The sequence below is a fragment of the Homo sapiens genome, chromosome 2 (assembly GCF_000001405.40).
Source record: "Homo sapiens chromosome 2, GRCh38.p14 Primary Assembly".
Lineage (NCBI taxonomy): Eukaryota > Metazoa > Chordata > Mammalia > Primates > Hominidae > Homo > Homo sapiens.
In genome coordinates, this window is record NC_000002.12 from 220,441,268 (window position 1) to 220,467,983 (window position 26,716).

Below are 26,716 nucleotides of genomic sequence, written 5' to 3' on the forward strand. Positions count from 1 at the left end.
TATTCCATATTCCCATGCATATGGTTCCCATTCTACCATTTTCCTAATATAGTTGTGTTTTACTTAGATCAATATGCAGGGTTTAGAGATTAATGACAAAATAATTGCTATTTGTAGCAGAGCTCCATAGCAAATTCTAACTCTTTTTTTATTATAAAACTTGTATTATAGTTACGAGTCATCTTGCTTTTATATATGTTAGTTTTCAGTGTATTGATCAGGAATTTAACCTCAAAATCTTTGCCTATTGCCTAACTCTTATACAGAATTCAGACTCATCAGCTATTTTCTCATTTTTTTTTCTCCCTATGCCTGTCTGGGAGCCTTTGGACCTGCTCCCATGTGAACAGGGTGCTTCGTATTGCTCGTTGTGTAGCTTTCATCCCAAGATATCTTCTAACTGTTATCCTGGGAATTGAAGTCATGTCTTTTCTATGGTGATTTTTCTTTTTTCCTCTATTTCATGTCAATCTAGCACCAAGATATGAGTCAATTCACATGACAGAAGTTGTTAATCTCTTGCACAAAGTTCACCTTGGGTCTAAATGGCTCTGGATGACTCCTTAGAGCAGCTGTGTTGAACCAGCATCCAGGGTGACTTTCTTTGTGTGTGTGTGTGTGTGTGTGTGTGTGTGTCTTTGTTGTACAGTTCTGAGTTTTGACAAGTAATAGAGCCATGGAACCAACACCACAAATACGATACAGAATAGTTCCACAACCTTCCCCCAATTCTCTTGTCTCCTACCTCTTTGAGAGCTAAACCCTCTTACATTCTTTCTTCCTTGTGATAATGACTTTCATAGTGTGGTGCCACCACATTGACTTGCAAGTTTCTGTGATTGTGGAGGCAGGGGAAGGGAACATAGAGCATCGTGCACCCACATTTAAGTGCTTCAGTCTAGAAGCAGCCAAAGCAAATTATTGAGCAAAGCAAACACATGGCCTTGCCTAACTGCAGGGTGTGGAGAAATGTGCACTTTGAAAGAGAGGAAAACAGGAAATATGGGGTAGCCCTACATTACCGAACTCCTCTTGCCTCGCTTCAGATTCTTACTGTCTCTTTCTTAATTAACCCTGCCACACTGTGATGACAAGTTCTGTGAGTACTCTGACCAGCTTCACAAGGAAGCAGTCCAGTAAGACCTAAGGTTGGGCCTGCACTGCATGCCACTTTCTTCTGGTCTTGAGCATCTTGGTCATCTGAATGGCAGATACTCCTGGAACCCACTAGATGCTCATACATGTGCCCCCTGGAAGGGCAGGAGAGTTAGCTGCCTGGGGGGATATTTGACCAACAGCAAACAGGAATGAAACCACAAATGCTTCATTATTTTCTGGACAGGTGTTCTGAAAAATCCCTCTTCCTCTTTCCTTGACTTTTTTTCTATGAAACTCACTGTTATTCTCCGGATCATATCTCATAATTACACATTACTCATCTCTGGCTATTCTTTCTGAATAACATGGGCTAAGACACATTGTCTTCTACTTTCTTGCTTTTCTGCCTTGTTGTATCAGAGGAAAGGTGGTTCCTAAGAGAAAGTACATGGGGGGTAAATTTTTTTGTAAACTTGATGGCTGAAAACATGTTTATTTTACTCTAACTGTTGATGAGAATTTGACTTTATATGGAATTTAAGGTTGGAAACAATTTTCCTTTAGAATCCTGAGGGCATTGTTTCATTACCTTCTAGCTTTCAGCTATTGAGAAATCTAAAATCAATTTCTAACTCTCTTATGTAACTTGATTTTTATGTTTACATTTCTGAAGATTTTTGGATCATCTCTTTTTCTCAATCTGAAATTCATAAATTTGTGTTTTGTTGGGTCTATCATTCATTGTCCTGGGCATTCAGTTCTCTTGGATTATTTTATTGCTGATTTTCATCATTGTTTTCTCTCTGGAAGTCTTATCACTCAGATACTGAACCTTCTAAACTTGGCCCTTAATTTGCTGATTGTTTGTGTGTCTTATTCATTTGATTCCTTTGTATATATGCTGGAAGTTTTCTTCAACTTTATCTTTCAAATCATCTATTGAACTTTTCATTTCTGTTATAGTTTTACATTTCTCGGAACCTTTGTCTCTTTCTTTTTGAATTTTTAAAAATATGCCTCTGTTCTTCTTTAGCATTAGCGTATTTTTTCCTATCTATGCCAACATGCTGGGAATCAAGTGACGATGAGATACGGAGTTGTGGATGGGTCCTCAGCATCCAGTATGCCTTTATTCCCCCGACTCCTCTGTTCTCAGTACAGGGTTAACCAACTAATCATGATCTGGTATGCTCTACTCCAGAGAATATCTGCATTTAACTCTTTGCAGGGTGGGAGGGAGATGGTGACCCATTTGCTCAGAGTGAGGGAGGGGATCTGAGCCTCTGACTCTTCCTTTTCCAGACTTTCAATCCTTTGTACGTTTGCCATGCCACTGGCTTCAGCCGTCCTTCCAAAGGACTTGTTTTGCCAGTTTCTGAGGTTTTGAGAAATTATTTGGTGAAAATCTGGTTAGTTCTCAGCTTTTTCTCACTCTGTCTTGAAACGCAGTTCCTGAGGTCTGCTATCATTTATCACTGGTCCATCTGCTCCCCAGCTTCCAAAGTGTTATTGCCACAATCACTGCCATCATCCCTGTTCTTGAAGGTTATAACTTCAAAATATCTCTTTACTGTCATTTTAGTTGGCTTTTAAGAGAATGTAAAAATAGAGGATTATGTCCAATCAGCCATCCTTACACAGAAGTCTTCAGATGGTCTATTTTATGAATTTATATTTTCATAATGCAATAACACCAAACATACAGCCGGCAAATTACTTTCTGGAAGATGCAAATATCTTGAAAATTCTAGCTGATGTTTAACTCACTAATGTAGTAACATATACTAAAATTGCTAAATATTTAGCCATTCCACAGAATTAAAATTGGACATTTTATGAAGTTTTGTAATGAAACTGCAGATTTCATCAGATGAGAAGGATTTGGGGTGTCAAGCACTATTGACATTTTGGGCCAGATAATTCGCTATTGTGGGGAGCCATCTTGTGCATTGAACGTGTTTGGCACTAGCATGCCAGTAGCACCCCTAAGTTGAGACCACCAGAAAAAGTCTCCAGACACTGCCAAAATTCTCTGTTTGAGACCTATTGTGGTATGATATAATGCTGGAATCAGAAAAATCTTTTCTTTAAAGGGCCAGATAGTAAATATTTTCAGGCTTGTGACATGGTCTTTGTTGTTGGGCAGCCACTCAAATTAGCTCTTTTGGCTTGAAAGCAACCATAGATGATAATATGTAGAAAATAATAGGCATGACTGTGTTTCAATAAAACTTTATAAAAACAGGCAGCAGATCATATTTGACCCACAGATTATAGCTTGCCAACCCCTGATATTGTACAAAGATCGAAGATTTTAGAGATAGTTGGTTTAAGCCACTTACTAGCTACATAATCTCAAGTAAACTTAATAAAAATAATAATGTCTATTACTGGGGTTGTAATGGGGACCAGATGGAACCTTAAACGTGAAAGTTTCTGACATATAGTACTATGATTCACCTTTTCTGGTCCTTGACAAAAAGGTTGTAATGAAAACAGTGTTAATGCCCATCAGAAACCCCTTGTGTGGTAATCAAATATTCCTTTCTTCTTCAACAGACAGTGAGTTCCATAAGCAAATGAATTATAGTCATCTTTGTATGCCTTTGGTCCAATCAGTGCCTGGCACAGTGTTGTTTATTGCATTCTGTTGAACTCAATGCAATTTTATCTCATATTTATATTGGTATTGGTTCTTAGAAGAAACACATCTTGATTAGACTTTTTAAAAGAAAATCTTTGCTTCTAACACTAATAGAAGTATTTTTGCCAGACAATTTATAGATCAAATAGTTTCACAGATACTTGTAAAAAACATTTTGTACTTTGCCACAACCTCCAAAGAGCTATAATGAGCATTTTCTATTATGTGTATGCTACTAGAAGCACGAAAACATAATGATATAATTTTTATATTAGAATCGATTATGTTTTAACACATTAAAACAAAACCATGTACTGCGTATTGTTACTACATACGTTTACAAAACCTGACCCTTCCTTTAGAGTCTAAGAATCTACTGCAAATATTTGTAGTACCTTTTTTTTCCTGATGAAATCTATACAATTAAATCATTTTAATTCTTCAGAAGGATTGATGTATGCAGGCAGACTTAATGTTCTGCATATTATAGGCAAGCTGAATGATTCAAAAATACTAATAATAAAACTGGGCCAAGTGTGTGGAATCCCAGAACTATTGCTAGATTTCAATTCTTATGCTTTCCCTCATGTCAAATGAAGGTGTGGAATGTGAAGAATTTAGGATATTGTCAAGCCTTAGAACAAGTGAGTCACTTTACCCTGAAACAACTTTAGAGGACAGTTTTGGGGAGAGATTGCTAATTCTAGGGAGTATTAAGGGAGCTATGTTCTGTCTTGAAAATGAAGAAAAAAATGTTGGATCTTCCAAAGAAACTGTAATATCTCTAAATTCCCAAAAGTGGAAACAAGTTTTGGTATTGATCACTTCTACCTGTTGCTTTCTTGAGGTCTTCAGAAAAGGAGAAGTATAAGCAACACTAGGTGTAAGAAATGAATGACAGCAAAGCCAAACTCACAGCAGAGCAACCACCCACCGTGCAGGGAGGATCCAAACTCAGGTTAGGAGCTGTGGGTAAGCCGACAGCTGCTCAGCATCAATCTTCTGCACATACTAAAGTACTACTGGTAAAAAAAATCAGAAATGTGCTATATTTCTCCATGATAATCTGTACAGAGACAGTGGCATGACTGATATGGTTTGGCTCTGTGTCTCCACCCAAATCTCATCTTGTAGCTCCCATAATTCCCATGTGTTGTGGGAGGAACCCTGTGGGAGATAACTGAATCATGGGGGCGGGTCTTTCCTGTGCTGTTCTCCTGACAGCGAGTAAGTCTCATGACATCTGATAGCTTTAAAAACGGGAGTTTGCCTGCGGAAGCTCTCTCTTTGCCTACCGCCATCCAAGTAGATTTGACTTGCTCCTCGTTGCCTTCCGCCATGATTGTGAGGCTTCCTCAGCCACGTGGAACTGTGAATTCTCCATTAAACCTCTTCCTTTTTAAATTGCCCAGTCTCTGGTATGTCTTTATCAGCAGCATTAAAACAGACTAATACAGTGACCCACTGAAAATTAACCTCTTTTCTTCTTCCCTCCTTCCCTCTTTCCCCACTTCTCTCTCTCCTTCCCCCCTGCCCCCTTCCTCCTCTGCCCCTTCCCCCTCCCTTCCTCCCCCCTTCCCCCTTCCCCTTTCCCTCCTTCCCCTTCCCCCCTCCCTCCCTGCCCCCTTCCCCCCTCCCTTCCTCCCCCCTTCCCTCTCCCTCCTTCTCCCCTCCCTTCCTCCCCCCTTCTCCCCTCCCTCCCTCCTCACTTCCCCTTTCACTCCCTTCCCCCTTTCCCCCTCCCTTCCTCCCTCCCCCTTCCTCCCTCCCTTCTTCACTTCCTTTTTCTTTTCCTTCCTTCCTTTTTTTTTCTTTTTTCTGTAGTGATATTCCTCTATCTTTAGAGCTTCAGTTGGAATAGAAGTTATTTCTTTTACTGTTCCATGTAGAATGCATAGACCTTTGTGATCTTAATGTCCAAGACCATCAAGCATTTCCTACGACATATAAGGCTCTATTATGGGAAACAATAGTGGACTTAATGCTTTTTGTTTGGAAGGAGGGTAAGGAAAGTGGCTTGGCCATGAGGTAGAACAGTAGATGCAGTAATGTACTACCAAGGTACCATCAGACTTCTCACCCTCATCCCCAGGACCAACACTGCTGACTGATTACCCTTGATTGACTCCCCAGGAATTGCCCTTGACTGAGGGAAGCTGCCTCTCCCAAGGACCTGAGGACACTTCATTTACCAAATAATAATCAATGTGCTAATGAGAGGGGCACCAGAATTTTTCAACAAGTACAAAGCGGATTGTCCTCTGTAGATCATCACTGATGGAGGGAGATGCTGTTATAGAATTGGGTTCCGTGAAAGCAATGTGGTTGATGGGATTTTGTACGAATAGATACTAGCTGAAGGTATTTAACTGGCAAAAGCAAAGTGGGTACATTTATTACAATGAAGAGCAATGTAGAACCAGGGAGCCTGACCTAAAAAGAGCTATGTAGATGACGAATAGAACATGGTGTTCCTTGGGACAGTGTTATGGCTTGAATGTGTCCCTCAAAGTTCATGTGTTAGAAACTTAATATTTAATGCAGTGGCGTGGAGAGGTGGGACGTTTATGGGGCGATTGGGCCGGGAGTGCTCTGCCCTTATGAATGGATTAATGCACTAATGCATATTCCCTTGCTCTTCTGCATGCCACCATGGTATGATGTAGCAAGAAATCCCTCAGTAGAAAGATCCTGGCCCCTCAACCTTGGACTTCCTAGCCCCTAGAACCATAAGAAACAAATTTCTTAGTTTTAAAAATCGTCCAGTCTCAACTATTCTGTTATAGCAGCATGGAACAAACTAAGACTGACAGGATAAAAAGGTCAGCCAGCAAGAATATCGCTTGGTCTATACAAGAAAAGAAAACAAGAATGTATGATCAGTAGAGAGAAGCCAACTCCTCTAATAAAAAAGTCATAATCTTTTGACCAGTTCTCTAACTCAGAACCCATTGGTAAGAGGGAGATGTTGGGTCCTCACAAGGATAAACTCTGCAACATCGTGGCAAATATTCTCAGTAGTGATTATTCCAAGCCTTCCTCAAAGATATCTACAACCGTTTACTCAAATTCTCATATATTGAAGTGATATGGTTTGGCTGCATCTCCACTCAAATCTCATCTTGAATTCCCATATGTTGTAGGAGGGACCCGGTGAGAGGTAATTGAATCATCAGGGCAGGTCTTTCCCTTGCTGTTCTTGTGATAGTGAGGAAGTCTGATGAGATCTGATGGATACTATAAGGGGGAGTTTTCCTGCACAAACTCTCTTTGCCTGCTGCCATCCACATAAGGTGTGACTTGCTCCTCCTTGCCGTCTGCCATGATTGTGAGGCCTCCCCAGCCATGTGGAACTGTAAGTCCAATTAAACCTTTTTCTTTTGCAAATTGCCCAGTCTTGGGTATGTCTTTCTCAGCAGCATGTAAGCAGACTAATACATGAAGGTAGGGGAATATCAAAGCATTTTAAAGATATTTCAATATAGGATCTGAGTTGTCAGGAAAGAGTGAGGACATTTGAGAACCAAGCAATAAAGCGATTTTTGGCCCAGGTCTTCTGGCTCACAAGTCTTCTGAGTCCGTAACCAGGGGGTCCCTGAATAAATAAATGGCATGGACGTACTTGGTAGTTTGAAGAACACCAATGTTGGTTCCTTATCATGTTGGCTCTGATTGACCAAATAACATAAAAAGCTATCAGCTTTGAGTGGGACACAGAGCAGCCAGGACAGGGCTCTGCAGCAGGTCCAGGCTGTGATCAAAGCATATTATCCAGCAAAAGCTATAGTACTAGAGGTACATGTGGTGGGAAAAGGCACTTGTGATGCTTAGCTGGTTGGTCAAGGGCTGGAAGGGAAACAATTGGGGATAAAGGATCTGGGGAAGATGCATCATTCTTTGAGGAAACCAAGTGGCTACTTGGTAGGAATTTCATAAGATTGGACCCCTTCCCCCTGGAAGTGGAAAATATCTATTCTGATAGGAGTAGACTGATATTTTGGGTATGGGTTTGCTTTTCCTGCTCACAGGACTTTAGCCAGCAGCATTGAAAGCTTAGACAGTTTGATCCATAATATTGCATCAGACCAAGAGACCTACATCACAGTAAAAGGGAATGTGGCAGCAGGCACTTGGTCATGGAATCCACTGGTCCTGTTTTAAACCATAAACTCTGATGACCTGACAGAGTGATAGAATGATCCTTTGAAGGCCAAGATGAGGTACCAGATTAGGGATGATACCCCAAGGGGAGGGTAGCCCTCCTCTAGGCTGCAGTATATACTCACAATGAGTATCAATTATATGGTGCTATGCCCCAAAGATGAGGAATATTTGGTCCAGGACCAAGGGATGGTGGTAGTAGTGGCTTTGCCTATCATCACATCTAGCGATTCCTTGGGGAATTTGTTGCTTCCACAACTCTAGGCTCTGTAGGGTCTTGAAATTCCTGAGCCATTGAGAAGGAGCACTTCCACCCTCTCAGTAGCTGTTCCACTGAGGACACAGTGAAAATCTCATTATGCTTTACACCTTGGCTGCCTGCAAATTACTTTGAGATACTTGTGCCAAAAGACTAGCAGGCAAGAAACGGAGTTACAGTTCTGGAAGGAATAATTGACTCTGATCATCCAAAAAAGATAAGACCACTTTTACATAATGAAGGCAGGAAGAATTTGTTTGGCACCGGATGATTCACTGGGGCAAGTCTTGGCACACCCTTACTCATTTTGATAGAGCAGTCATCGCTCGGTATTTTGAGGGCACTGGTTCCAGGACCCCCGTGCATAGCAAAGTCTGAGGATGTTCAAACCCCTTATACAAAATGCCATAGTATTTGCATATAACCTATACACATCTTCCCATATATTTTAGTCTCTAAATTACTTATAATACATAATACAATATAAATGCTATGTAAATAGTTGTTATACTGTAATTTTATTTGTACTATTTTCATTGTATTTTTTTTTTTTTTTTTGAGATGGAGTCTCACTCTGTCACCCAGGCCGGAGTGCAGTGGCATGATATTGGCTCACTGCAACCTCCACCTCCCAGGTTCACACCATTCTCCTGCCTCGGCCTCCCGAGTAGCCGGAACTACAGGCGCCTGCCACTACGCCCAGCTAATTTTTTTGTATTTTTTAGTAGAGATGGGGTTTCACTGTGTTAGCCAGGATCTCAATCTCCTGACCTCGTGATTCACCTGCTTTGGCCTCCCAAAGTGCTTAGATTACAGGCATGAGCCACTGCACCTGGCCTTTCATTGTATTTTTAATTTTTCTTCTACAGATAGTTTGATCTGCAGTAGTTTGAATCTGAGGATGCTGAACCTGTGGATAAGGAGAGCCTACTTTTCTTGGACAAATGCCCTGTGTCAGAAGAGTGTGGTAAACAGAAGCTCAGCTCCTTCAAGGATGACAGCCTTGGTTACACCACCAGGTGAGTTACCAAGACCAGAAAATGTACTAATGAAGGATGATAGGAGTCTAGAATGGGCACTACAGGAGAGAGAAGAGGCATACCAATTGCAGTTTAAAAATCAGCTTCAGTGGTGGCAATTGAAATTTGTCCCATTAATTTTCCTCCTATAAGTTTCTCTAGGAAAAGAGACCAAAGTCAGGGAGCAGTCGTTTTCACATGGGATGAACTCAGTGTAAGAGGCAAGCAGATTGTGGAAGATTAGAAGATAATGGATACTATTATTCCATCCAGATTCCTCTTCAGGACCAAGGACTCATTTTCCAGCTGGCAGGAATGTTAGCTACTGACGGCCATGGCTGAGTTCCTCTTCAGGAATTATCCTCCACTTGAGGGGAATTGCTTTGTTCAGTGTTACACTCCCTCTATAGTGGCAGCCCACACTGGTTGATGTGGGGTACAAAGTCCTGGACCTTGTCTTAGATGGGATAGTTCTGAAGGGCTATTCCAGCTCCAGAACTCCTCATAGGATTGGCTGAGGTCTCCTCTGCAACTGGATCACAGTTCAACTTTTTCTTCTGCCCAGTCCTTCTTCTCTCATCTGTTGCCAGTTTTATTCGTGAGTGTGTTTCCCAATAAACCCCCTGCATGCAAATCTCAGAGTCTGTTTCCTAGGGAACTCAGCCTATGTTGGCTAGTGAAAGAAACTTTTATATGTATTTGGAATAAGCCTTCGGAAGTATATACAGGTTAGCTACCTCTACCCTAAGTGAGTGTGAGTGACTAATGCTATCCAGTTATGGATGAAGGAAAAACTGTAAAATGGAATGTCGTTCCAAAGAATCAAAATGATTTGTTATTCTCAGGAAAATCCCTTCATTTGATCATGAATAAAGATGAATAGAACTTTTAAGAATAGAAAGCCCCTTAAAATAGAAGGTAAATAGCTAATAAAGGATATTGGATTAGAAGAGCACAAAAACATGAACCTGCCTGAGTCGCCAATGTGTCGTTTGGCTTAGGGAATAGTTTATGAACCCAGGAGTGAAATACAGAGGAGGGGGCTGCAAGGGCCCTGATGGTAGATGTGCAGTCCCAAGGTATCCAGAGCTCGGTCAGCACCTGTCCCTTTCCCACAAACCCCTGGGATTTCCCTGAAAGTAATTCCTCCTCTGTCCCTGAGCGTTTGTTCTAGGAAGAAGGGGAAATCCTGGCACCTGCCTCCCAGGGCTGCTCTCAGCATTAGGTGCCAGATCCCTCTTCTACCTCTTTGCTGGCAGGTGGATGGGCACACATCCAACCCTGACCAAACTGACTGCTGGCTAGGGCTCTGAAGCTGAAGTGTGGAACATGAGGAAATGGGGACAATAGGAAGTCATGCCACCATCCATGAAGATGGCAAGGAGGGCAATGGTGCTCGTGATGACTGTCCCCAAGTGATGCTGCTTTGTCCATGTTATGTTCACTTCCCATGCGCCATGCATAGTCTTCCATCATTTCTATGAGATTCCAACAGGCTTCCAGTAAGTACTATGCTTTACTTAAGATGGTCAGAGTTGGTTTTCATTGCTTACAACTAATTATCTTGGCTTACTTGGTTACCTACCATCCTGCCATTCCCTAAAAGGCTGAGTTACCATGAAAGAGGACACAGGCATGTTCATGCTCCTTTTCCTTGCTCCCTGCCAGAACTAGAGTATCAAAATCTGTAGGAAGGGAGAAAACTCAACCGTTCAATATTTGGTTAATGGTTTAATCCATGGTAGAGATCAGCATATACAATATGAGAAGGTGACAGGTATCTATGCTTATGGATGTGAACTTCCAGATTTCAAAGACTTAAGAAGAAGACACTAAAACCATTTTGTGCATATTGAGTTTGAGGTCTAGAAGAATCTGAGGACACAGACTCATTTCAGAATCATAAGGAACATGGTTGTTTCAGAAGATGGGGCCCAATTGCTATTGAGTTTTGGGTATTGAATACATCCCTGATGACAGCTTACTTATCATTTGTCTCTTTCTCATAAAAGAGTACAAAACATGCAAAAATGCTTTTGGTTTCTGTTTTTGTAATTGTTTGCAAGCTGTCAAAATGGTAATTTACTGTATTTTATTTTCTGTTTGGAGATGCTCCACCTTCTTTAAAACATTTTCTACATTGTTCTTTGTTTGTTATCGAATACTGGGAAATAATGCCTGTTCTGAAGCCTGCATTTCTATCCCATTAGAGATCACTGGAGGAGTCTATTTCCTAAGGAAGCAGGCAGGGATGGGGAGTAGGCAGAATGTGCTAAGAAATATGTGCCATGCTATGTTTCACCCACACAAATGGAGAACAAGAAAAGCCCTCCTCCTCAGAAGCTTTACTGCAGTTCTGTCTGGATTTATTCCAGCTCCTTGCTTCAGAGTTCTACAACTGGAAAAAATCAGGTTTATAGTCTGTTGTTTTTTTTTTGTTTTGTTTTTGTTTTTTTTTTTTTAGACAGAGTCTTGCTGTGTCACCCAGGCTGGAGTCAAGTGGCACGATCTTGGCTCACTGCAACCTCTGCCTCCTGGGTTCAAGCAATTTTCCTGCCTCAGCCTCCTGAGCAGCTGGGACTACAGGCACACGCTGCCACGCCCAGCTAATTTTTTGTATTTTAGTAGAGACGGGGTTTCTCCATGTTACCCAGGCTGGTCTTGAACTCCTGAGCTCAGGCAATCTGCTCCACTTGGCCTCCCAAAGTGCTGGGATTACAGGTGTGAGCCACCACACCTGGCCCTATAGTCTTTTAAATACAGATCATGTAGAAAGAGTCAGATTATTTTCAAATACAATGGTACCATCTGGCCACAGGGATCTTAGAGACCAACATTGTCAAAAGGTTCCTTTTCTTCTTTGGTTTCTATATTTATTATCCATCCTAAGTAAGCTGGGAATAAGTATAGGTGATTAAGTCATTCCCACTCAGAAGCCACTTCATGTGAGCATTAGAGTTACTGGGTGGAAGGCACTTTCACCTTTCTGGATACCAAGGGCAACAATGAACTCACAGGACCTCTGTCTATCTATCAGGATTATTTTAAAAACTTGACATTAAAGGGATATTTCTGTTTTCTTGAGTTTAGTTAATATTGTGGGATGATTGGGATCATGCCGTTTCCATCACGATTCAGTTTTGACATTAGGTGCCCTAATTAGTCTATGTGTCTGATTTTTTTCTATCCCTAGCTAAAAAGTATAGTTCACAAGAGCTGGAATCACAATCCCTGCAGCTTTCCACAGGAGGACAGGAATGCCTCACATATAAAGAGCTTCCAAAGTCCTGGCCTCTGAGCTTTGAGAAAGAAGACTGACTCTCCAAGAAGATCACTTCTAGAACCAGTGCAGAATAATTACAACTACAGGGACTGTGCTGATGTAGGGGAAAGGGGAGGTAGACAGAGAAGAGAGAGAGAGACAAATAGTGAGACACACTGTGGGGCTGGGAGAGACAGAGAGAAATGGGAGAGAGAGACAGAGACACAGAGAAGGGGAAAGAGAGACAGAAAGGAGAAAGTGAGATAGAGACACAAAGAGAGAGGTGATGGGGGCAGAATTAGATTTTCCTTTTATTCTTCATAAATTTTCTTAGCCCAGCCCAGCAGGATATTCTAGGTAGTTTATCCGAATACTTTTTTACAAATGAAACATTATTAATCCCAATTCATAAATAAGGAAAAAGTGGACCTTCTAAGGTGATGCTGCTAGGGTGGGGTGCTCAGAGCACACATCTTCTTCCTGTTTCTTGGTAGTTTCTCAGACTGCTGCTCAAGCTACTTGGGCACTGTAAAAGCCTAGAAGCTCTAAAAAAAAATGAAAAATTATGCTCTGATGAAGTAATAATATCATATGTTTGAAATCCTAATAGCCTCATTCTTTGAAAAGTTTAAACAGAGGGAATCTCCTGGGAGATCTGGCTTGAGAAGAGCCAGCAATTTCTGCCTCATGGGGCCCTGCTAGGCACCCTTTTCTCCTATTTTTGTTTATCACTTCCACGTTGGAATTATTTCTTTGGCACTACTGCTATTATGGGCTTCTGTTAGGAAAACAAAACTTTATCTCAGATGATCACCATATTCAAATTGAACCTATCATTGCATGCCCAGTGCCTACTTTTTCATGACACAGATAGAAATGGGGTAGGTCTGTTCCACCAGCAAAGCTGAGCGTAGGTGAGACTGTGATTTGTAGACTGTGATTCTGTGAGATCAGGCATTAGACAGAGAGGTATTGATGTGGGGAGAGGTATGAAACATTTTCTTAACTTTAACAGGAGATACTGTCTATGGCAGCAGATTCTGCAGCTATGATGGGGCATCCTGTGTAACTAAATGCCAAAGGAAGACGTGCAGACAACTTCCATTAGGAAAAAACAACAACGACAGCAACAAACAACAACAACAACAACAACAAACACACACCATGGTAGTACATACACTGGGCTTTCACTGCATCATGACTTTTTGGAGGACCAGCTGGCTGTCATTTCCAAGTATCAAATGGAATTAAAGGACATTAGTGAATGAATTTGTCACTGATGCCTAAATAGTATAATACTGGGTGTGTAATGTGGAAAAACATGAATGAAGAGAAGCTCTGCTAAAAATGTAGGAGGTTAGATGGCATGCCATATAGTTATCAAAAATGTCAATCCACGGGTTTATTAGATTTGGGGTAGGAGCACTTCTTTCCAATCCTGTTTTAATATTCTATCTTTATTCCTTAAAAACAGTTATCAAATTTGTTTCCTTGTGTCTCCCTTTATTGATTACAAATGTTCCCAATTGTTAAGACCATGGAAAATGGCAACAAACTATCAATTCTTCATGTTAACAAGCACCACATTTACTCCAAAAGTTTATGAAGAATAGGAAAATAAGAATCACACACAGATGATTTAAATCATGCAGTTTATAAAGATATAGAGAAACAGGCTTTGGCTAGGGTGCAAGTTGCTTGGATTTGAATTTAATTTAAAGATGGACAGTTTTTCTACAGGGTAGGCATTTTTTCTTCCTGAAGCCAGAATAGATTCCATCCAGATGCTTCATGTTTGTGCCCTGAGAGCAAACATTACATGAGAACTGAGCTGAAGGAGCTGAACAAAGCAGCCTTATAAATTCTAAATTCGGGTGATTGCATCATTGAAGTCCTAAACATACTAAGAGTCAAATCCAGCTTTTATTTTTATTGAGCATTTGCAACTAATTCCCACTGATCAAAGGCAACTTAGTCCTTGTTTTTTCCTATTTTTCTTTTTGGCAAATAAATAGTACTCTGGAAGGATGACATGGGAATCACTCTTCTTTCCAACAGGCATACAAATCCGCTGTTGCAAGGAGAAAGTGGAATGGGGAAAAGCAATGCATTTCGGGAATTCATTAAGTGGCTGAATTCATTAAGTGCTGGAAGGAGATAATTTAGATCTTTTTTGTTAACACAATAATTTGCAACTGTATAATTATCAGGGTTTGCTTTAGTCTGGGACAAAATCTGATATTTATACTTAAATGAAAATTACCTACCACTTACACTGACAAAAAAATATGAGCTTCTTAGTTGTGGTTATTAGTAAGATGTGGGGTTATAGAATCTCCACTTTTCTTTTTCCTAATTAGGTTTTTTATAGTCTGGGGGGTGGGTTTTACAGTCTGATGTGGCCCAGAGGGAGATGGTGCCTGTCTAAGGCATGCAACTTAAGAAGAAGCTTAAGCTTGAAGTTGGAGCAAAGAAGCGCAGATCTTATTCCTGGTCATCTCAGGGCTTTCTTTATTTAGCTATAAAATAATGAGGACACTATCACTGTGGTGAGCCCAGGGACAAATCCATATATTTGGGGGTCCAGGAATTATGCAATTTGAGAGGCCATCTCTAAGAACAAGAATACAAATATTATGAATTCTAAGTTGGGTATAAGGTGTTGAAATGGGCTCTTGCAATTTGAGGGCCCTGAAGCTTAAGTGTTATTAAAGGTAAATCCACCTGTGTGTGTGCTAATATCACTGGGAGGAAAGAAAGCGGACTCTCATAGGTTCTCCCAACAATCCATAAAAGAACTGCTAGCTGTGCTGGCTGGTCTGCCTTTGAGAGGGAGGTAGCAAGGTCTTCTGAATAACTGGAGAGGGTGGAAGCAGATGTCTGTCTGCTGGCAAGTGAAGGCTGTTTGTAAGAATTATTAGGTGTTGTCCCAGCCTAAGCATCCACTGATAAGGCATCCTCTGTTTTGTAAACATGATTACTCCTAGGTCCAAGTTTCCTAGGTGGGGATGATTATGTGTTTGGAACCACTGTGTTTCAGAAAGTCGTAAACTACATCATGCAACTCTCACAGCAGCCCTCGGAGTGTTTTCAACTTCATTTTGTAGATTTGGAAACTGAAGTATCAAAAGCTTAAGTGATTTGATCACCATCAAGGGTCAGTAAAGAATGCAGACCTCAGCTTGTAGCTCGGAAGTCTATGCTCTGCTCCCCCAACTCTTGCAGAAGAGTTCTTAGGGGCTGCAGCCTGCAGGAGTTGTAGGTAGTTTGAGCTCTCTGAGTGGTCTCACTGGCAAGCTGTTCAGTCAAAGTGACACCCCACTTCTTGGGACAATGGCCCAGACAGGATTACTACACGGAGGACTGTGCCCTGTCTTATGGTTTGACAGTTGGTCACTGGAATGAAAACATTTTCTCTGCTTCAGGCTCAGGGAAGTCCTGACCTGGAAAGATGTTAACAAGAAAGACTTTTAGAGTAGCAGGTAACCATAAAGTGATGACAGTAACTTTCTTGTAGGAGTATATTCTAGAGGTTATCCTCATTCTGATGCTGTTCATGGAGTCCATTTCATGAATTCCCAAACAGGTGACATTCCCTGGGCAATAATTATGAGTGTTGGGCCATACTAGACATGGTGATAGGTAGGAAGGAAGAGATGTCTTGCTAGATAAGTGGTAGTAAAAAGCTAACTAGGATCCAATTTCATTTGGGTGCCTAAGTGTCTTAAGAACCTGCTCAAACCTTTGGAAGAGATTTTGATGTCTTAAACACGAAGAAATGATAAATGTTTCAGGTGATGGATATCTCAATTACCCTGATTTGATCATTACACATTGTGTGCATGTATCAAAAATCATATGTACCCCGTAAATATGTACAACTATATGGATCAATTAAAAAAAAACTTGGGCAGGAATGGAGTCCTCTTACTCACAGATTAAACTCTATAGATTTCCTATTTAGAAATATGATCTGCTGTGATTGTGACCAGCATGTATTTGTTATGCTCTGGATGCATGGTTATTGAATACGTGTTTCTTCTTCTTTGAAACCATTGAGAACCACAGAGGTTACCTCCCCCTAAGGTGGGATATTTTTAAAGGCAGTTAAGTGGACGCTTTTGAGGTGAAGGCTTGTGTAAAGGAGGCAGTTCTGGCTCCTTCAGAGCCTCCCTCCAAGCCTGGTAATCAAACCAAACCCACTCCCATTTCTGTGACTGTGCTTAGGAGCTTGGAAACAATAACTGTGCTGGGGCGGGTTTGGAATACATTGAAATAGGCCTGTCAAGTCTATACAGGAGGCGATGGAGTATCCACTGACATCATGTAATCAAAAGGAAAAAATTAGACTGTGTGCCTTGCCTGGGAAAAATAGACTTCAACTTAGCAAGCTGTATTTCATGCTCCTTGAACAGAACTGCAATTCCTTCCTTTATTTACTCATGGAGCACCTATTTAACTACATGGTGGTGGCTTACAAATAATCAAAGTGTGGGACTGTTGGTGTGTTTTATAGATATCAGCTCTGGTGAATCAGATGAAATCCCACCCATCTCAGCAGGTACTAACTTGTTTAAGAAAACCAGCTGTCAACAGGAAAGAAACTCAGAGGGCTTACCAAGTTAATAATTCCTTTGGCAGGTCCTGAGAAATTTACTGCTTCATCTTTTAGTGAAATGCTGGGTAAATGCAGAAAGTCAGCTGCCTTCCATCAACTGGGAATCAATTATGAGGCTGATTGGGGTGTCTGTTTTTTCAGTTACTCAAACAGATCGAGATGCATGGAATGGCAGAAACCTTAAGGCCTTCACTAAAGGAGCACACAGTGTAGCGATACAGGCGAGAAGGTTCTGAGCAGCAATGAAAGGCTGGGGAAAGCCTGGATTCTCTTCTCTCTTTAGACTGCAGGAGGGTCAGTCTCCCTCTCATCTGCTGACCTGAAGATCCTTATCTTCTGATGGCTGCCACTGAGTTTTCACCTAGGGCATTACCTGGCAGGGTTATAGGCATCACTGTTACAGAAATTCACTCCCTGCCTTTGCCCTCCCTTGATCTTCCAGCCTCTCCTAGAAAAACCTTTGCTGCATTACTGTTAATTTCAGGTGTGCAATGAAAATGCCAAATGCATAGTTTATGGGACGATGCTGATATTGTTTCTAAATAGACTTTTCATTCACCTGGGAATTCACAAGGCCTTTGTTCTGCAAGCCCCCAATATTATCAGGTTAATGTTAGATTGCCTAACAGTCAGCATTTTTCTGGAAGGAATTTTAAAAGCATACATCCTTGGCCAGTGCAAAAGGGTATTTTTGTACTACAGATATATTTTATAAACAAGTTAATTATGAAGTATAACACACCTACAAAAAGGGAAAGACAGTGCCATAGATATTAGGTAGTCCAGGAAGCTTTCTGATAGGGTGATTAAATAGACTTGTCATAAATGTACTAGCCAAGGGCTGTTTTACATTTTGCTTTTGTCAGTGGAGGTGGCGGTTGGTGGGAAGGGATGAGGGAATGTAAGTTTGACTCTGATGATGTAGTCTGTGAATGAAAATCAGGCCTTCCTCAAGCCTGGTATTTCCAAATTTGTGGAATACTTCATAAATCAGGATGGCAGACTTCTCATCTAGGAAGACAACCAGACCCAAATCACAGGCAAACACAAGCACACAGGGCACTTTCTCTCCGCACAGTACTCATGGATAAAATTGACTTATGAAGAATGATTTTTAAGGCCAAAGAGAAGTTACAGGAAACAATGAGAAAGAAGGTGGATGTATTATGGTTCAAAAAGTTTGCATTAAAAATGTTAAATAGCAGTGTTTAATGGGAAGCATTAATAGTGTGACATTTAAGAGCATATACTCTGGGGTCAGAATGCTTGATTTAGAATCCAAGTTTTACCACTTTCTAGCTACATGACATTGAGGGATTGGTTTATTGTCTAAACCTTAGACCCCTTAGTTGTCTGATGGGGATAGTAATACTCCTATCACATAAGGACAGTTACATATTAGTCAACCATGTAAAATCATAGTACAGTGGCTGGCACATAGAAAAAACTCAATAGATATAAGCTGCTGCTACTGCTACTGTTACCGTCACTAACACTACTGGGCTTCTCAGTGCCTTCACTCTGCCAATGAGTGCTATAGGTCTATAGAATAGACCTGTACAGTTCAGCCTGTTCAACATTTATTTAACCACTAATGCTTTCTCTGCAGAACATCTGGTTGGAGTCAGGGTTTTTGGAATACCATTTCGTAAACATTGTGACAGATATATCTCCAAGAGCCTCTGGCTCCTATTCTTTAACATTTAGTAGAGAAATCTCTCTCACTTCTGTCTACTTAATCAAACTCTATTCATTCTAATAAGTGCAACTCCAGTTCCTTTTCCAACCCAACCCTGATCTCCCCAGCCGGTGCTTGGGTTCTTTCTCTTGATTCAATTGGCCTGTATCACTTGCATTGTATTGTCTCTTGGACTTTTTGTCTTGATGTCCTCACTATTTTAATGGATCTCTTGCCATGCTAAACTTGTCTTCTTTGATTTTATTTTACATAGGAAGTGTTCAGTTTTTAACCTTTCATTGACAATTATTAAATCCACTGGGATCCCCTCAATTTCTACTAGAATGTAGGTTTCATCAATATTTGAAGTCCTGCATTGGATCTTGATTTCCCACTTAGGTTAAGTCTCAAGCTCACTCATCACTTCCCTCCTTTAACACTAGAGGAGCTAGTGTTGCTAGCCTTTAGTCCAGAGGTAGTAAGTTACCCCTCCTTCTGATGTCCTTCCTAACCCATGTAACAATTGCCTGGATTTGTATTTCCTTTTTCATTACATTTCTTTTCTCTGAAGTCAATATTTCATTCTGTTTCTTGGGAATATGTTCGTCTCTCCTTTAAAACAATTTATTTTATTTCTGTATATTACGTAGTGAGGCTTTGGTTTAACAACATTTTATTGACCATTATTTGATCTATTGCACCTAAAAATTTTGCCTGCGGGTGGAGAGCTGGTTACAAAAATAGATGTGATAGTTTGTTGAAGAGAATCAGGGCAAAGGCTCTGACATTAAGATAATCTGGCTTCTGTTCCATCATTTGTTAGCTATGTGACCTTGGGCAAGTTACTTAAACTCTCGCTCCTGAAGTTTTCCCATGTATAAAAAGGGATCACTTCATAGGGATGCTGTTTATATTAAAGAAGACAATGGAAGTGTGTCTTTTAGCAAAGTGCTTTGTACCCAATAAAGCTCATAGACATTGTCTGTAATTAAAACACATTTTCTACTTTCTTAAATCTCGCCATCTGGAGTAGAAGCAGAAGGGGCTTTGTGAAGGAGAAAGGATTTGAGCAGGAAGTTGCAGGATGTATAAAGGGAAGTTTGGAAAGACTTTTTCCACTGGGGGCACCGTGGGAGATAAGGTTGGCACAATGGGTAGGAACCGAGTAATGGGGGCATTTGAATCCCAAATTATGAAATTCTGTAGGCATCAGGGAGTCACTGGACGTCTTGAAACAAAATGGTAATATGTATAGTTTTTTGTTTCAGAATGCTAACTTTGGAAATGGTCAGGAGTAAGGATGGGAACAGAGAGACAATTGAAACAAAGAGACCAATTAAGAGATTAAGTTCCACCATTCTTTTTTTTTTCTTGTTGCTATTTCCCCTGGTTCTTTCCTTTTATATAATAGGATTTTTTCATGCAACTTCCATTGATGATCGTTGATGAGACTCTCCTTGGATTTCTTAATCTTCCTCCATCAGACTAGATCTATTTGGTTTACTTCACCCCCAGGAATGCATTCAGGAACAAAATAGATTGTACATTGTATGTTTTATTTATGAACCTCAATTCCCTTAACTGCTGACCACTGTCATGATATTGCTTCAGAGATTTTCTCTGTTTCTCCTTTTGCTTCCAGTTGGTGCTACGTGTTCTCAGTTTAGTGCCCAGTTCCAGTGGTGAGGGCTATATTCATTCTCAAAATGGAATAATAATGATAAGAGAGATTTAGATAACTTTCAGCCTCTTGATACAATAGGGGCATAACCTTGGGGAAGCAAAGCTGGCTGCTCTGTTCTAGAATCTTCTGAAACAATAGCCCTGTTTACACTAGATGCAGTTGTATGACGCAAACTTTCAATCCAGTGAGATGCACAGCAGTGTGTACTGACGACCTTACAGGTGCTTGTCAGAACCTTCCTATTAAACTTGCAGTCTGCTGAAAATAGAGCACCAATACCTCTGGGCACCTCACTTTTGAAAAACAAACTAAACCATCAGATAAGACCATGGGGCCTTGGGCTTTATCTAATGCTACACACTCTTTTTAAAATTGATTCACTTTTCTGTCAACCCAATATGTCCATGAAATAGCCTATCTGCTGCTACAAGAACAATTATTATTCTGCCTGAGGTGATTCGTATGGTCTCAAGGCCCTGCAAACATCCATCTATACTGAGATGGATTGGAGATAAAGCAGACATGGGCTGGCACTTCAGCAGATACCCATTGTCAGACATGTCACACGGTGACAGCTAGAGAACTGCCCCACGGCCTTATGGGAAAGCATAATTCCCAGTTTCCGACAGGTAAGTATGCGTGGGAACAGTCTCAATTTTGTTTGGAGACAGGCACCATAAAGGTCCAAAGACCTTCAAATCTGAGTTGTCCAAATTTTCAAACTGACAGACCTAAAGTCTGTAAGCAAACAGGGAAGTCCCCATGGAAATTTCAGTTCACTTGTGCTGTATCTTTCCCCATAATCTAATTCCATGTTGCAATTAGATGTAATTCAAGATATACATAATTGCAATTCATTCAGAAGAGATTTATTTTTTGAGAGGTTCAAAATGAGAAAATGGGCATATTCCTTTATAGGTTTCATTGATGCAAAGTGGATTTAAATAAATCCAACTATATGTATACCCTGCAGTGACTGATTTATCCAAAGTAAAATATACTGTTGACTTTTGTAGAAATTTACATCCTAAGTATTCTCAAACTAATATTAATCTCATTAATGGTGTAATTATCTGAAAGTGGAAATATTATTTCAGTAGCCATTTCGTAATTTCTGTTTATAATTCCAGTCAATGTTTGATCTTCTAAGACAAAATAGGTGTTTATAAGTCTGAACTAGATGTATTTCTATTTTATAGTTACAAATTAGTTCCCAGTGATCCATGAGGTCATCTCAGGTAAATCTAACAGACCGCTGAGGGACATCATAATACATTTCCTAGCAGGGAAATAAGTATTAACATCTGAAGCCATGAGAACAGAGACATTTATATTTTTAAAGAAAAACAGACACAAGAAATTTCAATCCTCTCATGAAAATGATTTTCAACAAAATTATATTCTATTCCTTACCAGAGTCACTGAAGGATATCTACATGGGATAACTGGAATAACCACTCAAAACATTAAAAATAAAGGTGGATGATGTTCAATCAAAATGTTTATTTTGTTTATTAGTCAACTAGATTACTTCAGCAAAATAAAAAGCAATACTAAATGTTTGAATTCAATTCCAATTTAGTCAGAATTATCTATTGCATAGACTTGTACTTTCATACAAACCATAAAAATGAAGAATTATGTTTTGTATCTAGGGATTCAAATATAAAAGATAAGAACAAAATTACATCAAATCCTGTTTTTGACTTTGATTTCAGTGAGTCATACAAATCCCCACTTGTCACAAAATGAAGACTCACAAGTAAGTTTCTCACAGGTCAATGATTTCAGAGCAGCAAATACTCATTCTTCCGAGCTACTCAGGTCCTAGATTATTTTCTGCCTTGACATACAAAGATCTACTTGAGTCTTGAGGGAGGGGGGTGCACCCCCTCCACCACCACCAGAATGGAAAATAAACCAAGTCAGTTGATGCAGATTCAGGTCTTCTTGAAAATTTCAAAGGTCTTCTGTGGCCTTAGGGAATTTCCATTCTATTCTAGGTCTGAGACTTCCGAATGCCCAAGGAACTTAGGGTGACTGGATGAGGGCCATGGGAACCTACAGCAAAATGCTGCTGGGAAGTACCCCAGAGAAGACCCAGTGTGTGGCTTATAACAATCTGAACCTCAGGGACCTGCCCTCTACTTTTAGCATTACAATCTGACCAAATTAGAATGTTGTTATTGGCAATAGGAACTGTTTTTTGACTATATTTTGGATTTTTGCTGCCATGAAGAATTAGATACTGAATGGGAATTAACCTCTCTCTTGCCCATTGTCTTAGTTCAGGCTGCTACAATAAATTACCATAGATTAGGTGGCTTACACAACACATTTATTTCTCAAAGTTCTGGAGGCTGGAAGTTTGAGATCAGGGTGCCAGCATGGTTGGATTCTTGTGAGAACCATGCCTTCCTCCCGGTTCACAGATGGCTGTCTTCTCATGGTGTCCTTGCATGGTGGATATGGAAAGATCTTTTGTCTGTTATTCCCTTATAATATAACACATTAATCTCATAATGAAGGCTGTACCCTCAAGATCTAATTACCTCCTAATAGCATCACATTGGAGGTTAAAATTTCAACATGTAAATTTTAGAAGGACACAAACATTCAGTCTATGACACCCCTAATCCAAGAGGAATATTTATGAGCTAATAATTGCAATATGCCTTTAATTAGTTTAGAAACACAGGGTTGATCATATAATTCTTCTTCAGGCTTTCAATATTTCTTGGCTTGGTGGTTAATACACTTCCAGATCTGGCCCCATCCTGCATGTTTACAATCTCCTTTCACTTTTTTCAACACATCAGGTTATATGCTGATTCTAACCATGACATCATTTTGTGCCTTCGCTTGCACTGTTTCCTCTGCCCTCTGCCATTGTCCAGCTTGTGACGGATGACTTTCAGGGTCTATCACAAATGTTAGACATGCCATACACGTGTTCTCAATTCCCGCAAAAGGAATTAATGGCACCCCTCAAGTTTGTTTCTCTAGTATTTTATACTTCTTTTATTGTAGTACTTAACACATTATAAATAATGGGATGGTAGAGCTTCGTGGTTCTTATAATCCATGCCTTTGTCTCCAGTACTTGAATATTCCAGTGCAAGGTCAGTTTTAAAATATCTGGTATGTTTAAAGATAATACCAAAGATTAGTCCTAGAAATGGAGCTGGTAAAATATGTATATTAGCCCCCTCCTCTTTTTTACTTTGAGCTGTTTATTTTCCCTGAGAAACTTCAGGGGCAATAGGTGAGAAGATTTTTCTTGGTCCCTGTTCCTAGGAAAGGGAAAACATCCACCTAGCTATGAGTCGACTGATCCTAAGAATTGTTGCTTAGGGGACCAGCCATCTTTTTCGTATGAAGTCATATCAGAAAATCTGGAAACATGGATCTGGGAACTTTTGTTTTTAAATTTGGCTCAGAATTAATGCTATGTGTGACCTACGGAATGGTATTTCTTGTCATGGGGCTTTTCTCCTTGGGAAAATGAGAGGCTTAGACTAGCAGGTCTAAATTCCCTTCAGATTTGAACATCTGTGATTCTAAAACTCCACACTTGAAGTGCTGTGTAGGAAGCTGGCTGGGTATTAGGTGTTTGAAGGACTTGCTGTTCTGAGGACTACTAATATATTGAATTCCTCTATTCAAATTAAAAATTGTATTTTTAAGGGTAACATTTTTTGCTCAGATATTTTTTCAAATAGGTTTTGCTTCTATTCCCAGACACAGGTGTCTAGAAATGAAGAGAGGTGAGAAAGGGAGCAAGACACAGAATTTGACAATACCAGTAATTTGTGTGTAAGGCTGTTTTGTTGAAAGCACATCCCTGAGCCCCTGGAAACCTGAGGAGGGAAGTATTATATGTGTTTGAGTCCTGGCAACAGACGAATTCACGACAGGCTGGCTATGAAGAGGTTTCGTCAGCATTTGTTATCTTGGAGTGTCTTGTCCTAAGAGTGCTCTTGATCACTACTGGTCTGCTGTCTTCCACAGGCCACCAATCGGTCATCTCTGATTGGGAAAATACTGCCAGTGAATGAGATTGTCTGGTTTAGCCACAAAAAAAGAGGCTGTGTCACAATCTGGCAAATTCTAATGAATGGTTGTTGATATGGTTTGGCTGTGTTCCCACCCAAATCTCATCTTAAATTGTAGCTCCTATAATTCCTGTGTGTTGTGGGAGGGACCCGGTGGGAAGTAATTGAATCATGGGAGCTCTTTCCTCATACTGTTCTCTTGGTAGTGAATTGGTCTCATGAGATCTGATGGCTTTATAAGGGGTTTCCCATTTTGCTTGGCTCTCGTTCTGTCTTGCCTGTAGCCATGTAAGATGTGCCTTTCGGCTTCTGCCATGATTGTGAGGCCTCCCCAGCCATGTGGAACTGCAAGTCCATTAAACCTCTTTCCTTTATAAATTACCCAGTCTCAAGTATGCCTTTATTAGCAGCATAAGAACAGACTGATACAGTTGCTTTTAGTTATTTATTTCATAGTTTCAGCTGTTTTTATAGTTGTTTGAACCATATCTGCATGACTTTAGGGAAGTTACTTAACTGCCCAGAGCCTCTGTGTCTTTATCAAGTGTGTTTCATGAACTTCTGGGTTGTGGTGAGACTTTTATGAGATAATGTTTGTGAGAACAGATTTTACACTGTTAAACACAAGGCACATGTTGGTCATTATAGCCAGTTGGACAAGTAATGGCTAAGAAGTTATTTTTCTTTCCCAATTTCCCAGAGACAATCAGATTTTTTTGTCATCACTGTCTTGTGAAGTATAATCTGTTACATCTACTTGTAGTAAACTTGCCAGTTTGGTAGCTTTAGATCAGATTGGCCAAATTTTCCGTAAATCCATTCTGAGCAGGACTCTGTTATTGTTGGAACTGCAGATCATTAATTGACGTTTGCAGCTGCCAAGACTTTACCACAATTGAAGAAATAGCTATGCAAGTCAGACTTACACCTGAATTTCTTTAAGTTTATTCATTTAAATTTGATCCTTGAAGTATTTGCTTTACTCATTATGCTGCCTAATTTGCCTAAAATAAATCAGGAATCAGTCAGTACTCAAATCCTGGGGTAATTGGAGTTTTTGGTGTCAGCAGCAGCATTAACATCTATTCCATCATAAGTGCCTGCAACTGTGTGTGTGTGTGTGTGTGTGTATACAAGAAAGAGAGTTCCTTTTGCCTGCAATTACAAGTAATATTTGGGGAATATTTTTAATCCATCTATAAATGGATATGAAAAGCTGCTATCTAAAAGAGATAAAAGGCTGTTTGTTTTCACATGCCAATATTACCTGAAGAAAAAAGGCTGGAGAATAAATTGGATGAGTATATTCCAATTTATCACCACAAAAATATGTATAGTATCTTTCCAAACTAATAGGTGATTTTGATGCAACAATCATAGGAAACAAGTGAGCATCTGGATATAACCCTTAGACAAATAATGTCTGTTATGGTTTAGACATTTGAATTGATTCCTATAAAAGCAAATAAAAGAACACACATAAGACAGAGGGCAGATTGGATTGGATTGATAGTCAGCAATGTTGCCTTGCTTACTTAGAGTCTGCATAGTGTTTTGTAGGGAGGGAGGGATTTCGGCAACTAGAACCTTCATTTACTCAATGGAGTTGTAAATGAAACTTGAAAATGGAGTTGTTCAAGTTCAAGGTTTTGGTGGTTAGGGATTTCTCCTCTTCTTTAGAGTGCTGACTCTAAATGGGCTGGAGGGGCTGCACGCTAGGAATTGGTAGGCAAGGGAGACCCATTCGCTTTCTGGCTGATTTATATTTTGGGACCTGTGTCTGTATTAATGGCTTCTCCTGTCTCACCCAGTAAGTCACCAGTGGAGATGATGAATGAGCAGGGAGTTGGTCCTGGGCCGTGAGGCTTGTCACAGCGGACAGGAAGCAGAGGAGTGGGGCTGTACAGAGCGGTGACCTTAAACATCAGTGAGGTGGTTCAGCAGCCAACAGGCTAACACAGTAAAATCAGCTACTTTTCCCTTGGGGAGGAATGAGCAAGGATTGAGAGCCTGACTGGATGGAGCCTCAGGCCAATGCATGTTGTGGGAACAAGGAGTTTCCCCAGCCAGGGCCCAGGATGGCGTGTTCTGGAGGATAAAGAAATGCTGGGGCATGTACCTGCCTTAAAGAAGCAATACACCTGTAAGAATGAACACCACATATTGTCTTTTTGCACAGAATGATGGCCAAAAAATTCGCATAGATTCCAAAAGATAACATCCAAGAAAAGAGTCTTT

At 40.3% G+C, this 26,716-nt stretch overlaps 1 long non-coding RNA gene across 1 annotated transcript in view; it reads left to right on the forward strand.

Annotated features, from left to right (window-relative positions):
- Positions 1-26,716, forward strand: part of LOC105373893 (uncharacterized) — a 428,255-nt gene that overhangs the window by 373,556 nt on the left and 27,983 nt on the right. The window contains exon 4 of the long non-coding RNA XR_001739889.2: positions 9,032-9,181. This is a non-coding gene — a long non-coding RNA (uncharacterized LOC105373893). The remainder of the gene's footprint in view (positions 1-9,031; positions 9,182-26,716) is intronic.